Source organism: Homo sapiens, chromosome X (genome assembly GCF_000001405.40).
Source record: "Homo sapiens chromosome X, GRCh38.p14 Primary Assembly".
Lineage (NCBI taxonomy): Eukaryota > Metazoa > Chordata > Mammalia > Primates > Hominidae > Homo > Homo sapiens.
This window is the reverse complement of record NC_000023.11, coordinates 19912346-19928183: the sequence shown is the minus strand read 5'-3', so window position 1 is coordinate 19928183 and position 15838 is coordinate 19912346. Positions and strand designations below refer to the sequence as shown.

Below are 15838 nucleotides of genomic sequence, written 5' to 3'. Positions count from 1 at the left end.
AGGCCAGGAGTGGTGGCTCATGCCTGTAGTCCCAGCACTTTGGGAGGCTGAGGAGAGAGGATCGCTTGAGCCCAGGAGTTCGAGACCAGCCTGGGCAACATAGCAAGACCCCACCTCTACAAAAAAGTTTTTTAAAAATAATAAACTGGGCATGGTGGTATGTGCCTGTAGTCCCAGCTACTTGGAAGGCTGAGGTGGAAGGACCACTTGAGCCTAGGAGGTCAGGGCTGCAGTGAGCCATGATCATGCAACTGCACTCCAGCCTGGGTGACAGAGTGAGACCTATTAAAAAAAAAAAGAAAGAAAGAAAGAGAAAATGCAGCATAAATATGCCATAAAATTAACTTCTACAAAATAATTATATTTTAAATGAGAATTGCTGGGCATAGTGGTACATGCCTGTAGTCCCAGCTACTTGGGAGGCTGAGATGGGAGGATTGCTTGAGCCCAGGAGTTCAATGCCAGCCTGGGCAACATAGCAAGACCCCCAACTATTAAAAAAAAAAAGAACAGGAAGAGAAAAAAACGAAATGAGAACAGTAGCATTATATCAGTAAGTGAGGCATGTTTGTCAATTCGTAGGCTCATTTTAGTTCATGATTTTAGGCTAATATTTTCTTCTGAGAAATGTGTGTATCTCTGGTATTGCTATTGAATAGCCCAACTGTGGTTTTATAACTTTTATAATCATAAATGTTTTCTTAAATACTTACACTTATGAAGCCTTTACACTGAGCTTGCTTAATGATTTTAGTAAATCTTAACACTTTTCAAAAGACGGATGAGTAGAATGAAGTTGGCAACTTATTTTTTTTATGTTTTAGAGTTAAATAGAATATCTTATGTCACACATACAACCCCAGTTTTAACTGAGTACCTTAGAAGATTTCTAATTTCACCATGTGTGTCACTCATGGTTTTAGGAAAGCCATCTCTTTATTTATTTATTTATTTTTGAGATGGAGTTTCATTCTTGTTGCCCAGGCTGGAGTACAATGGCACCATCTCGGCTCACTGCAACCTCCGCCTCCCGGGTTCCAGTGATTCTCCTGCCTCAGTCTCCTGAGTAGCTGGGATTATAGGCACCTGCCACCACGCCCAGCTAATTTTTGTATTTTTAGTAGAGGTGAGGTTTCACCATGTTGGCCAGGTTGGTCTCGAACTCCTGACCTCATGTGATCCACCTGCCTCGGCCTCCCAAAGTGCTGGCATTACAGGTGTAAGCCACCGCACCCGGCCGCATCTCTTTTTTTAAAAAGTGTCAATGGAATCATTTTCCCGTCTCGTATATCTCCCCACCATCAGGCTGTGCCAGGACTTAGGTAGAGATGCTGCTTCTCTTCCTGCCTTGTGTGGCAAGTTTCTTTGCAGCAGACCTTTCAGATATTTGTTCCCAGTCACAGATGGCAGCCTGACTGTTTTCAGGGAAGCTAGTCATTGATTTTCACTCAAGGAAAATGGCTGAGGCAGGCCTTCTCTTCATTCGCAAGGTTGGGTTTCTGGTACATGGTGTCTTCTGTTTGTCTTCTGTTAGCTCTGTGCTAAACTTGGAGTTTTAGCTTAACTCTATTTTTGCTCCATCTTTTCCAGTGACTTGGGGCTGCTGAATGCTTACCTGACTGTCTGCTTCAGCTTATAGTTTCTATATATCTTGGATCTTGCTCCATTTTTTTATTCTTTTGTTTGCCTCAGTTTGCCCAATTCCTGCTGACCACCCTATTCTTCCAGACTACATTGCTCACCAGCCCCGCTTCACAGCAAATAGAAATCAGAAATCAGGCCTTCATCATAGGACATAAGAAGTATATCCTAGAAGAAGCTACAGCCTGCTACGGGTCTCCAATCTTTAGGCCTAGGCTTTTTGCATCATCTAAAGTGTAGCAGTTATAGTTAGGTTTCAGTGCTGGTCACCACCTCACCTTCCTGTTGCCCTTCACTGCCATCTGGCTGCATTAGCAGTGTCTCAACACACTGGATTTTTTTTTAAATTAGTGTCTACTATTCTTGCAGTGTCTACTACCTGTTTTTCTTAGGCCCACCCTTCTGGATGCTGCTTCATATATCTTTCTATTGCAGCCACTTTGACATGGAGTTTTCCAATCTGGCTACTGTCAGTGCCTGCAAGCAAGCCAGAGCCACAATTTTTATAGATTTGTGTTTGAACAAAGCCCAGCTCTACAAGTACAGCATCAACTCAGGTACCTTACTACTAGCACCCTACTGAACAGCTGGGCTCCACTCTCCTAACCTTTAGAGAAAGGAATGAGGCATTGAAGCTGTTCTGTTTGTGCCAGGGTCTGAAGTAAGATACCTGAGACTAACTTGGCCTTTCAGCTGTCCCAGTCATAACAAATCCCATTCCATGTGTATAAACTGATGGCTTAGACCTATTAGTCCATTTTATCTCAGGCCTTCGTGCCTTCAAAAAAAGAGTGAAGGCCTGGAGACTCTGGTTTCTTCCAGTGTTGCTTTCCGTTTCCCTTAAATGAGGGACATTTTTGCTCAAGTAGGGTTCCTGGGTGAGGTACCATTTATATGACTCTTCATCCCAAGCTTTAGCATCAGAGGGAACTTTGAAGGTTCTTCCTTAGAGAGAAATCTTAGTCTGAACAGCATCCCTGCACTGCTTTGGCTTTTTGCCCTCCTGGAGAATTCGTTCTTTTGGCAGTTATTAGACCACCACCTAGACTCATTAAGGATGCATCATTAATCTAAATGCCCTGGAACCTTCTTGAGCCTGAAATTGAATATGAACCTATTTATTCCCATATGCCTTAAAGTCCACCAAGAATATTTAGACAGATCTTATCTGGACTCCTCACTCCCCTGCCATATTGAAATGCTGGAGTGATCACTCATGGCTGGGAGGTCTTGCATTTCCTCATCTGTAGTACAGTCTGGTGATTATGCTATCCTATGCCATGCACTTCCTGCCTCCAACAAAAAACAGCTTTGGGGAGTGGTGGCGGTGGTGGGGATCCTAGATGTGCTCCTAATACATCCTCTGCTTCCACTTACCAGAATGATAGTGGCTTCCCTAAAACTGCATTGGCTCTCCAGCTGCCTACAAAGTAGTCAGATTCCCAAGCAGTAGTAGAAAAGTACAGAACGGAAATTCTTCCTCATTCATCATGTACTTGTCATATTCCATTGTGGCACCCTAAGTCCCTTTTACTGTGTTTATTTTCTCTTGGATTCTGTGCTTGGGCTGGAAGATAAAGGGGTGGGAGGAATGTCTGTTACTACCTGGAATAAGGCTTGTCTTTAATCCACTAGCATTCAGAAGTACCCCCAGGAAGCATCCTCTGCTCACCATAGAAAGTTTTCAGAAACTCCTGAGAGTCTGATTATATACTAGATTGGAACAAAGAAGCTAGTAAGAATTAATGAAGTCACCTCTGGGAACATTGCCTCTGAAAAACTGTAAGTAATTGCGCATTTGGCCAGGAAGGCAAGGAATTCCAAGGCAGCGGAGATCTGAGGAGCATTCTCCAGCAGTCCTCAGGTGCTGTGGTGCTTACCAGAGCTCTGTCCAGGGATAGGAAAGGAAGAGAGAAGAGGGCATAATGACAGTGCAGAAAGGAAGTTAGAGACTGGGATTCGTGGTTTTGGGGGTTGAAAGAAACCTTGAAAGTCATGGAGTACGAAAATAGAACAGGAACCAAGATTAGCTGAATCAACAGAAATCTAGTATACACTTGCCAGGTCCCTTGAGCTGAAGTGTGCCAGGGTGCAAAGGAAGTGTTGCATAAGGGCATCATCACTTTCAAGCACTTAGGATCTGGAGGCTCCAGTTTCACTACCTACCTCTCTGCCTTCTCTGTCTTATTTGGTTTTCTCTTCCTCCATGCATTCTTTTAAAATGTAAGCATTTCCTAGTGTGATGTGATATTATTCTCTTTTTTCAGTCCTCCTTCTTGTCTTGATTGCCCTTACCTCCTCCCAAGATTTCAGCCATCACCTCTGTTGATGTCTTCAACCCTGACTACTCTCCAGACCTCCAGATTGTCAGCTGCCTCCCAGATGCCCTCACATGGATGTCCTAAAAGCACCTCAAATTTAGCATGTTTAAAATCAAACTTGCAGCTGGGTGCGGTGGCTCACGCCTGTAATCCCAGCGCTTTGGGAGGCCGAGGCAGGCGGATCACCTGAGCTCAGGAGTTCGAGACCAGCCTGGCCAACATGGTGAAACCCTATCTCTACAATCCCAGCTTCTCAGGAGGCTGAGGCATGAGATTTGCTTGAACCCAGGAGGTGGAGGTAGCAGTGAGACGAGATCACATCACAGGACTCCAGCCTGGGTGACAGAGTGAGATTCTGTCTCAAAAAAAAAAAAAATAAATAAATAAATAATCAAACTTGCATTGAAACATGCTACAGCATGAAAGACCCTTAAAAATATGATGCTAAGTGACAGAAGCCAGACACAAAAGACCACATATTGTATGATTCAGTTTATATGAAACGTCCAAAATGGGCAAATCTGTAGGGACATAAAGTAAATTAGTGGTTGCCAGTGACTCGGGGATGAGGGGAAAATTGAGAGCAGGTATGGGTTATTGCTAATGGGTATGGGATTTCTTTTTAGGGGAAGAAAAATATTCTAAAGCTGATTGTGGTGATTGATGGTTGCACAACTCTGTGAATATACTAAAAAGCTACTGAATTATACACTTGAAATGGGTGAACTGTATAGTCTATGGATTACATCTCAGTAAAGCTGTTAAAAATTATGTCAGACTTGCTGTCCTCCCCCAACCACTTGTTTTCCCTCAGGTCCCCTAGCTCTCAAAGCTAGACAAGCCAAGCTGGAAACGTGTCCTACTAATTCTCCCAGTTCTCTTTCCAACTTTAATGGTTTCAAGTCTTCTCATTTCCATCACTCATTCATTACTACATTTGTTTCATCCATTTTAATGGCTGCATATTATTCCACTCTGTGGATATATGAATTATTTCAGTGGTCTTCAACCTTTTTGCTCCATACTGTAAAGTTTTGAAAAGTTATCTACCTTCTTGCACATTGGTAGGTTATCTAATATTTTTATCGTAAATTATTGTATAGGATACAATTTCTGGCATATTATAAACACTGACAGTCTTAAAACTGTTGCATTATATTTTTAAATCTCTTTGGAGGAACCTACATACCACAGGAACTCGATAACTAATACCATCAATTTTTTTTAATACACAAATTCTTTTAACAGTGAGAAATTTTGCATTGTTCCTTTTTTTGCCTTGAATTTGGACTTCATTCCACTTTCTCCATATAATTTTTTTTTTTTGAGATGGAGTCTCTGTCACCCAGGCTGGAGTGCAGTGGCGCGATCTCGGCTTACTGCAACCTCCACCTCCTGGGTTCAAGCAATTCTCCTGCTTCAGCCTCCCAAGTAGCTGGTACAACAGGCGCATGCCACAATGCCCGGCTAAGTTTTTATATTTTTTGGTAGAGATGGGGTTTCACCATGTTGGCCAGGCTGGTCTTGAACCCCTGACCTCAAGTGATCTGCCCACCTCAGCCTCCCAAAGTGCTGGGATTACAGGCATGAGCCACTGCACCTGGCCCCTCCATAGAATTTTATCTTTAAAAGTATTTTGTTGATCACCAAATCTATTTGGTGCATAATGTTATTAGATTTCTGTGACTATTAAGTGTTAAATATTTCCTCTGGATTGAGTTAATATTACAGTTGAAGTATTGATGAAACAAAAGAAGTCTTACTGCAAATGCATTTTTTTAATTAGTTTATGTATTCATATATACTGTTGCTAGTAGAATAATATAGTATTCAAGTATTCTATTTTTTTTCTTTTTATAGATATAAGTGCTGAGAAACCCTATTTATATGATTACATAGATGGGAATGAAGGGACTTCTATTTATAGGAATGCCACTCAGTTCTCTGGACTCACTCTGAATTTTAGGCCAAACAAATCATGTACTAATCTATTATCAAAAAGTATTTTGAATGTTCTATCACTGATAGCTTGATTTTGTCCAGGTCTCGAACTCCTGACCTCAGGTGATTCGCCCACCTCAGCCTCCAAAGGGCTAGGATTACAGGTGTGAGCCACCATTCCCGGCCTATGGTTAACTTTTAAACATATTAATATTTAATCCATTTAGAATTTATTTTATTATTCATTTTATTATTTTTATTATTTATTTATTTATTCTGAGACGGAGTTTTGCTCTGTTGCCCAGGCTGGAGTGTAATGGCATGATCTCGGCTCACTGCAACCTCCACCTCCCAGATTCAAGTGATTCTCCTGCTTCAGCCTCCTGAGTAGCTGGGATTACAGGCACCCACTACCATGCCCAGCTAATTTTTTTGTTTTTAGTAGAGGTGGGATTTCACCATGTTGGCCAGGCTGGTCTCGAACTCCTGACCTCAGGTGATCTGCCTGTCTTGACCTCCCAAAGTTCTGGGATTTATTAGGCATGAGCTACCACGCCTGGCCAATTTTTTATTTTTTTGAGGTGGAGTCTCACTCTGGCGTCCAGGCTGGAGTGCAGTGGCATGACCTCAGCTCACTGCAGCCTCCGCCTCCCGAGTTCAAGCGATCCTCCTATCTCAGCCTCCCGAGTAGCTGGGACTACAGGCATGCGCCACCCTCCTGGCTAATTTTTGTATTTTTGGTGGAGACAGGGTTTCACCATGTTGGCCAGGCTGGTCTTGAACTCCTGACATCAAGTGATCTGCCTGCCTTGGCCTCTAGAATTTATTTTATTTTTATGATATAGTGTAAAGTCAGGATCTAACTTTTTTCCCCAATAAATAGTTTTTTAACACTGTTTATTGAAAATTTGTCCTTTCCCTGCTAATTGAAAATGCTGCTTTTACTATATTCTGCATTCTTATGTATCCCTGATCTGTTTTTGGAAGCTTTGGAGTCTTCTCGCTTGTTTCATTGCTTCTTGTGATATTCTAATTTAGTCTCTTTGATCACAGTCATTGTCCTGAAACACAGATCATATCATACCCCTCTTGCACAAACACCTTCCAAGTATTTTATTGCCTACAAGAAAAGAGACCAAACTTGTTAGCCAGGTCTAACCCTAAGCTATCTTACTAGCTGCATTTCCCCATAGACTCTCTGCTTTTTGGAGCATACTGTATTTTCATGTATTTGTACCTTTGTTCCTACTGTTCTCTTAGCTAGAAATAGCCTCCTGAGCCCCATTCTTTTCTTATTAAACCCTACTTTCCTTTTAGGACCCACTGTAAATCATATCAAAGCCCCCACTATAACTTGTGTTTCATTTAGTCTCTAATTATTGTCATTTGCCTTTGTATTTCCCCAAATAGATTATCAAATTCTTGAGGGTGCCTCGCTAAGCATTTTTTTTTTTTTTTTTTAGACAGGGTCTCACTCTGTCGCCCAGGCTGGAATGCAATGGTGTGATCACAGCTCACTGCAGCCTCCACCTCCCGGGCTTAAGTGATCCTCCCACCTCAGCCTCCCAAGTAGCTGGGACTACAGATGTGTGCCACCACATCCGGCTAATTTTTGTATTTTCTTGTAGGTACGGGGTCTCGCCATGTTGGCCAGGCTGGTCTCGAACTCCTGGGCTCAAGCGATCCACCCACCTCGGCCTCCCAAAGTGCTGGGACTACAGGTGTGAGCCACTGCACCTGGCCTCGTTAGTCTTTTATCTTACCTTATTACCTTTCATATAGTCAGTCTTCAGAAAATGCTTATTGAATGGAGTTGAATTTATTCATGCACACACACACACACATCCATCCATATGCTCTAAAATGTTAGTGAACAAAAGCCATTGTGTCAGGGGTCCCTAAGACCATCCCCAGGTTTTGCTAGGACTCAGACGACTTAGCATATAGTCTTTCTCATAAAAGAATAGAGAGCAAAATCAGCAAAAGGAAAAGGCATATAGGGCGAAGTCCAGAGGAAACCAGGTGCAAGTTTCCAAGGGTTCTCTCCCAGTGGAGTCTCACAGAACATACTTAATTTCCTCATCAATGAGTTGTGACAACACATGCGATACATTACCACCCTGGGAAGTTTGCTAGAGTCTCAGTACCAAGAGTTTCTACTGGGGGCTGATCATGTAGGCGTCCCCTGCCAAGCACATACCCAAATTCCAGACTGCCAGGAGGAAAGGGAGTGCTCAGCGTAAACCATCTTATTTACACAAACAGTTTCAGCACCCATCAGTTAATGGTGGGGACCCTCTTGAAATCTAAGTTCCCAGATGCTGGCCAAGGGCCATTTTGTAAGCAGGCCTTTCCAAGGACAGCAGTCAGATCTGCTGTGTTAACCCTTTTCTGTACAACCTTTTTTTTTTTTTTTTTTTTTTTGAGACGAAGTCTCACTCTGTCATCCAGGCTGGAGTGCAGTGGCGCCATCTCAGCTCACTGCAACCTCCGCCTCCCAGGCTCAAGCGATTCTCCTGTCTTAGCCTCCTGAGTAGCTGGGATTACAGGTATGCACCACTACACCCAGCTAATTTTTGTATTTTTGGTAGAAATACGGTTTCACCATGTTGTCCGGGCTGGTCTCAAACTCCTGGCCTCAAGTGATCCGCCCACCTCAGCCTCCCAAAGTGCTGGGATTACAGGTGTGAGCCACCACACCTGGCCAACGCAACCATATTTTTGTTTTGTTTTTGAATGGAGTTTCACTGTTATTGCCCAGGCTGGAGTGCAATGGCACGATCTCAGCTCACTGCAACCTCCGCCTCCCAGGTTCAAGTGATTCTCCTGCCTCAGCCTCCCAAGTAGCTGGGATTACAGACACCCACTATGACGCTCAGCTAATTTTTTTGTATTTTTAGTAGAGGCGGGGTTTCACCATGTTGGCCAGGCTGGTTGCAAACAATCATATTTTTTAAGAGCTTAACTTCACAGATGGTTAATGCCTAAAGGGAAGAGAAAATCAATATGGTAGGAATGGTCAGGAGATACATGCTAAGTACTTCCATTGATACACTCTTCTTACAGGAGGTAGATTATAAGCTGAGGCCTGGAGAAGAGCAAGACATAGAAAGGGCTAAAGCCAAAGACCCATGTTTGGCAGGAGGATGTGAGGTTGGGGAGAAATGGAGGTGTGCAAATTATAGATGGCCCCAAAAGCTGGGCAGGAGGATATTTAGGGTTTGATGTGGTGGCACTAGAACATCTTCCTAGACTGAGGAGAAAGTGGTACTTTAGGATGGCTATGTAGTTAGCAGTGGGTGGGGAGGTTCTGGGGAGAAGAAATGAGGTGCAGGAAGACCAACAAGGGAACGTGTGGTGACCCAGATGACATGTTATGAAAACCTAGATAAGAAGTGCTCATATATCTAGTTCAGCATTCTGCTTAAAATGGGCTTTTATGGCCAGGTGCAGTGGCTCACACCTGTAATCCCAGCATTTTGGGAGGCTGTGGTGGGTGGATCACTTGAGGCCAGGATTCAAGACCAGCCTGGGCAACATGGTAAAACCTTGTCTCTACAAAAAATACAAAAATCAGCTGAGCGTGGTAGCATGTGCCTGTAGTCCCAGCTACTCAGAAGGCTGAGGCAGGAGAATTGCTTGAACCCAGGAGGCAGAGGTTGCAGTGAGCCAAGATCGCACCACTGCACTCCAGCCTGGGCAACGGAGACTCCATCTCAAAAAAAAAAAAAAAAAAAAAAAAAAAAGGCCGGGTTGGGGGGGCTTTTAAATCATTGGAAGGGTGGAGGGATCAAGTGGAGATAGGTTATGAAAGAAGCTATGTCAAGGGTGAATGTAACTCAAAATAATCACACATTTAACAAGATACTTCAACTGAATCTTATTTTAGAATTATTGTAGTTAGAATTTCCTTTTAAAGTTGTAAGTAGGTAACATTTTATTTGAAGATAAATTTATATGATTTTTATATTGTATAATGAGTAAAGAACTAGGATACAATGAAGTCTACCTCTATTTAAAGGAATGATGTTGACAAATATATACGTGCATGTATTTTGAAGATTTCATTAACCAAAATAGAAGAATAAGAATTTTCTATCAGCACTGTTTTTGTTTGGAATTAAACATTTCCATACTAATATAAATGCCAAAAAATAAATCAACTTTTACATTTCTTTCAGTTTTAATAGTGTAAGATCCTAGTGAAAGGTAAGGATATGTATATTAATAAATTTTTATTTTTTAATGTCCCTAAAAAATGTGCCATTTTACCATGTTTGCTCCGTTATTACTTGCATGGTCTTATGTCCAGTTTGTGGTTAGTAATTGAATATTGTGCATAGTATCACAGTATAGAATCCACGTTCATTATTCTCTAATCATAGTCTCATTGTTCTTGTAAATTCTTCTTCCTGTATTTATTGAAGCCTTACACCTTTTTATACTGTAGTCAACCATCCAAAAGTAAGAAGGCATTTCCCCCTCTAATAACTTTCTCTGCAGTTATCAGTCAGTTAAAAGAGCCCATGTAGTTTTAGAATTAGAGATATAGGGTGGAAAAGATAAAATACTAATTTGAGGTGTGCGTGTGTAGTGTCAGGCTCCGTACTTGAGAGCCAAAGGTTTAAGAGTCTTGATTTTATGCCAGGGATGCCTTCACTGAAACTCACCCAAATAGCAGAAGACTGTTTTCATCAATTTACTAATATCAATGTTATCTAGCACCACATGTTTTCTTTGTCCTATTGATTTATCATGCGATATTGCTTTGATGTGTTCTGTTGTTACTTTGCGCCTTTGGGGTTCCACATGCCTTCGTGGGAATCTCGGGGTGCAAGTAACACTGTATAAACGAAAATACTTTGAAAATTGCAGTGTAAACAAAACTAGCTCAGATGTTTGACACTTTGTTTGAAGTCTTTATTTCTCTTGTTTTCTCTCAATAGGAATATACAGATGTTGCCACAGGAATCTAATCTGAAATCGTACAAATGGAAATGACGCTACAGGAGGATGTTTGGGAGCATCTCTCTCTTTTTGTCAGGAGTTAGAAGTGACACTAAGGCACTAATACTGTAACTTCTTGATAAAATAACTTTATTTTTTAGTAGTGGAATGCTGCAACTTTTTTACACCTAACAATTGCTTTTAAATTACAGTATTCAATTTAAAAGTTGTATTAACTACAGTTTCCTTTGCAAAAAGTCTCAAAAGAATCACTTGAAGGGCATTATTTGTTGATGCATTTTTCTCTGAGCATGGTTTCATAGAGAGAACTTCACCAAGTAATATTCAGACGTTTATATGTTGAAAGTTTTGCTTACATAATAAAAACAAAAACAAGTGTCTGAATTGTATAGTGTCTTTACATGAAAGAACTTTAAACAGTGGCCTTATGGTAGAAAATTTTATACCAGATTTTTCTTTTTCTGATGACATTTTGGCTTATAACTCGAAGTTTTCTTAAGTTTCTGAAGATCAAGGCCTATATAATTCATACATTTCATATTATAAGAAGGCAAGAGACAAGGTGCTTCAAATATTCCATCAGGTAGTTGTGAGTGCACTGAATTTTTAGTAATATGTTCATTCAGTTTTTTTCCACAACTATTTGCTCTTTTCCAATTTCAAAATGCTATTGTGGAAAATATGTAAAGATTTTGTAATCTATAGTCCATCTTATTTTTCCCTCAGGGCAAGCTTGTGCATATCATATTTTTAAAGGCTTTTTAAAAATCTGACAAACAAAATCTCATATTTGAAAATTGTACTTTACTACTACAGCATTACACATTTTGCAAGCACATCTTATAGAGTGTTTACTTTTAGTTCAGTTGATATGTATTGCATACCTACTATGTGTAAGAGCAAATGGATGGGATTTTTAAATGAAATTTTTAGGCCCCAATACCTTATTTCTTTATGTTTTCTGTGTTCTGCTTAACAGTACATATACATTCCCAATTACATTTTTGTGAAATGTTTATTTGTAATAAAATAAAATGTTGTTGCTCTTTCTGCTTAAATAAGTTACTTGCCAGTTTGTGAGAGCATTATTTTAATTTTGTTTGAGACTTATAGCCTTGGATAGCACCTCTGTTTAAACAGTGTTTAAAGCACTGTTCTGTGCTTACAAAGACAGAGCTTTCAAAATTAAAATGTGAAGGTTGATAAGAACTTGGTTTTTCATGACTGGATGTGAAAAATCTTAGTACATTCAGTTTTCTTGTCCATATCTTTAAAAGAGAGGGCAGCCTTTTCCTTAAGTGAGTTCATGATAAGGGGGGCAAGTGCACTTGATTCATTGCTAAGCAGGTAATAAATTTGGGTAGATGGCCTGTCTTGTACTGTGTACAATCTCTATAGGTCAGGTTTTCCAAACATATTTAGCATTCCACTTATGGTAAGAAAGAAATGCATGCACACAGGTAGTATGGCAACTTTATATTGTGTTAGGTACTTATAAAATCTGTCTTAAATTTTAAAATAATTGATTTCATTTACTCCCATATTCTAGGGGACAGTAATGAGCTTTGAATATTTAATCATTTGATTGACAACTATGTATTGCACAGATACTGTACTAAAATTACAGCAATGAACAAGAAGACAAGACACATGGACCCTGCCTTTATGGTACGAAGAGTCTAATAGGAAAAATGGACATTAAACAGAAATATAACTTGGTAAATCGCCTTTATAGCTCGCTTTTTATTTATTGTAACACATAAAGGTAAGATGGCTGATTTACTATTATTCATTCCACAACTGATTCCCTATTTGGATATTCTTTTGGCACTGTCTCAATATGCAAAGCGTGTTATCTGCAAAATACCTGTGCAGAAAACATTGTGTGTATAAGATCTAAAGCCTAAAAGGAAAAACCAACTTTATAATTTAGAGTATAAAATAAGGACAGGGACCGTGTCTGTCTTGTCCACCATAGTATCCCCAGCACCCAGCTTCCTATTTGACGTGTGGTAAGAGTTCATTAAATATTAGTTGAATAATGAATGAATAAATAGGGAATAATAGAATATGTTTATTAGGAACTACATGTGTAATTTTCATATGGAGATTGAACAAAAGGTTATCCATAGCATTTTTTATTGACTGGAAAGAATTTGACTTCTTGAATGCATAAGACTTGAGAAGAGAAGTTTTTTTTTTTTTTCTTTTTTTTGATAAGTCCCCTACCATTGCCTCCTCACCTTCCTCCACTACGTGCTAGGCCCTTCGCTGGTACTGGGAAGACAAAGATAATAAGACACAGTCCCTGCTGTGAGGAAGCTCATGCACTGCTGAAGAAGAGATTCACAAAAACAAAGAATCACAATGTAGAGTAAGTACTTTAGTGGACATATATACAAAAGGTTGAGAGGAAAGTTGACATTTCTGATTCAGCATCCCCTCGTCATGTTTCTTTCCTATTGGTTTCACCAACCTCAGAAGGCACTATTCTGTTGGTGGTTTTACTGGTTTTAAAAATTGATGCATTGGGGGAAACTGGGTAAATTGTACGCGGGATCTCTCTGTATTATTTCTTTTATAGCTGCATGTGAATCTAGAGTTACTTCAACATAAATTTCAATTTGAAGAATTGCCCATAGTCTTATCACAGAGAACACTATTATAAATATTTTAGATGATACATTTTCATTTTTTTCTATTGGAAAAAAACTCGCTACATTTATGTGTAACAATTTATGTAGATGTATACTATGTACCACATTTTACCTAATAAATCCTACATTTTTGAATAGTTTTTTTTTTAAAAAAAAGACGGGGATACTTCCAGGCAGAAGCAAGAAAAGTAAAGCTGGATGAGAAACTCTTATTGTCTTTATTACCCAGCAAATTCAGTAACCACCAGGCACAAATTCACCAGGAACAACCAAGCAAGGAAGGAAGAAGAAGCTGATGCAACAAGGTGTGGTATGACTTCATCCCTCGCCCATCCCCAGAAGTAGCACTGAGTAAAACAATGGAGATGACAAAAATATTGGTAACAGTGGGCCCCAGTATGGACAAAGGCACTGACGAGGTGACCAGGCCACGTGGAGGAGAGTCAAGGAAAACTCTTGGGACAACGAAGTCTTTGCTTCCATCTCAGGACCTCAGCAGAAGGGGTAAGATTCACCAGGACTAGGCATTTCCCAGGTCTCAGAGCAGCCTGGGAAAGCCAAATCCTGCAGAAGTCAGAGACACCTTTGACTGTGTCTAGTGAGTTCTGGTTCTGGACATTTAATGGGAACCTAGAAGAGAGGGGATACCAGGTTCCCCAACAAAGTTCCGTCAAATAGGATGATTATGAGCTCTGAGTCCATTAAAATACAGAATGAACATTTAAGAACTGAGGAATCATAGATGTAGAATAGTATGTAAATGTTATAAATCTTGACAAAGAAAAATTAATGTACATTGACAAATTCAGACATGGAGGAGGTAAAGTGGGATAAAGACTTAAGAACTAACCGTCTCATCATTCATGGCCAGGTGTCATGTCACGTCATGTCTTAAAATTATAATATGGGGAAAAACGCTAGTGACCAACCTTAAGTTTTTCCACAATCTTTTTTTTCCTTGACCTTAATACAGTGGTTCTCAAAGTGTGGTCCCAGACCAGCAACATCAGCATCACCTGAGAACTTGTTAAAAATGCAGATTCTTGGCCCCACCCCAGACCTCCTGAATCAGAAACCCTGGGGGTGGGGCCAAGCAATCTGTGATTTAACAAGTCCTCCAGGGGATTCTGGCACATACTTGAGTTTGAGAATAACTGGCTTATTTATCCCTTTTAGGAACCAATGAAGAAACATTTATCTGAAGTTCAGCAGCCCCTTCAATTTAATGCCTAATTTTTTTTCTATTGCATTCAAATAAAGTTAAATCTAAAACTTGTTTGCTGGCCGGGCACAGTGAGTCACGCCTGTAATCCCAGCACTTTGGGAGGCCGAGGCGAGTGGATCACTTGAGGTCAGGAGTTTGAGACCAGCCTGGCCAATATGGTGAAACCCCATCTCTAATAAAAATACATAAATTAGCCGGGCGCAGTAGCATGCACCTGTAATCCCAGCTACCTGGGAGGCTGAGGCAGGAGAATTGCTTAAACCCGGGAGGCGAAGGTTGCAGTGAACCGAGGCCACGCCATTGCACTCCAGCCTGGGCGACAGAGCGAGACTCCATGTCAAAAAAGAAAATAAATAAATAAAACTTGTTAGAATAAAAAGTTTAGGGATTCCCCCCGTCAATCCTGTCTGTACATATGAGTGAATTGAGAGGTCTGGAAACATACCCACCCACTGTTAACACTGTTGATTTTTTTAAATGGTGGGATTATGAGTGACTGTACTCTTCTGTATCTATCAAATATAATGAATGTTGTATCATTTTTATAAAATAAAGTCTTTCTTTTTTAAAACAGTGGTAAGAACATTTCATCCTATCCATTATATATCTGCTACCAAAATCCAGGTAAACAAGCTTTTACGTTATAGGCTGGCTACTTCACTATAGTCCATTGGGGTTTTATTCCCGGCCATTCCTCCCACATCATAAAAAGTAGGTAGGCTTATTTTAAGTATGTATTGTGTTGAGTTTTAAGTACAAATTATTGATTTGTAATATTTAACAATAATATATAAAAAATTAAATTTGGCCAGGCACGGTGTAATGCCAACACTTAAGGAGGCTGAGGTGGGTAGATTGTTTGAGCTCAGGAGTTTGAGACCAGCCTGGGCAACATGGTGAAACTCCATCTCTACAAAAAATACAAATATTAGCTGGGTGTAGGGGCGTGCACCTGTAGTCCCACCTATTTGGGAGGCTGAGGTGGGAGGATCTCTTGAGCCTGGGAGATCAAGGCTGCAGTGAGCTGTGACAGCCTGGGTGACAGAGTGAGACCCTATCTCAAAAAAAAAAAAAAAAATTCATCT

General features: G+C 40.4%; 1 protein-coding gene and 1 long non-coding RNA gene across 31 annotated transcripts in view; both read left to right on the top strand.

Annotated features, from left to right (window-relative positions):
• The window catches only part of BCLAF3 (BCLAF1 and THRAP3 family member 3), a 78202-nt gene extending 62878 nt beyond the window's left edge, over positions 1-15324 (top strand). For all 30 annotated transcript variants that reach the window (XM_047441965.1, NM_198279.4, NM_001367774.2 and 27 more), the window contains one exon: positions 10850-15324. In XM_047441965.1, coding sequence (XP_047297921.1) covers positions 10850-10879 — 30 coding nt within the window. In that variant the 3' untranslated portion in view covers positions 10880-15324. The remainder of the gene's footprint in view (positions 1-10849) is intronic.
• Positions 1190-4399, top strand: LOC124905256 (uncharacterized). Its single transcript, XR_007068407.1, has 2 exons — positions 1190-2198; positions 3277-4399. It is a non-coding gene; the product is annotated as an uncharacterized LOC124905256 (long non-coding RNA).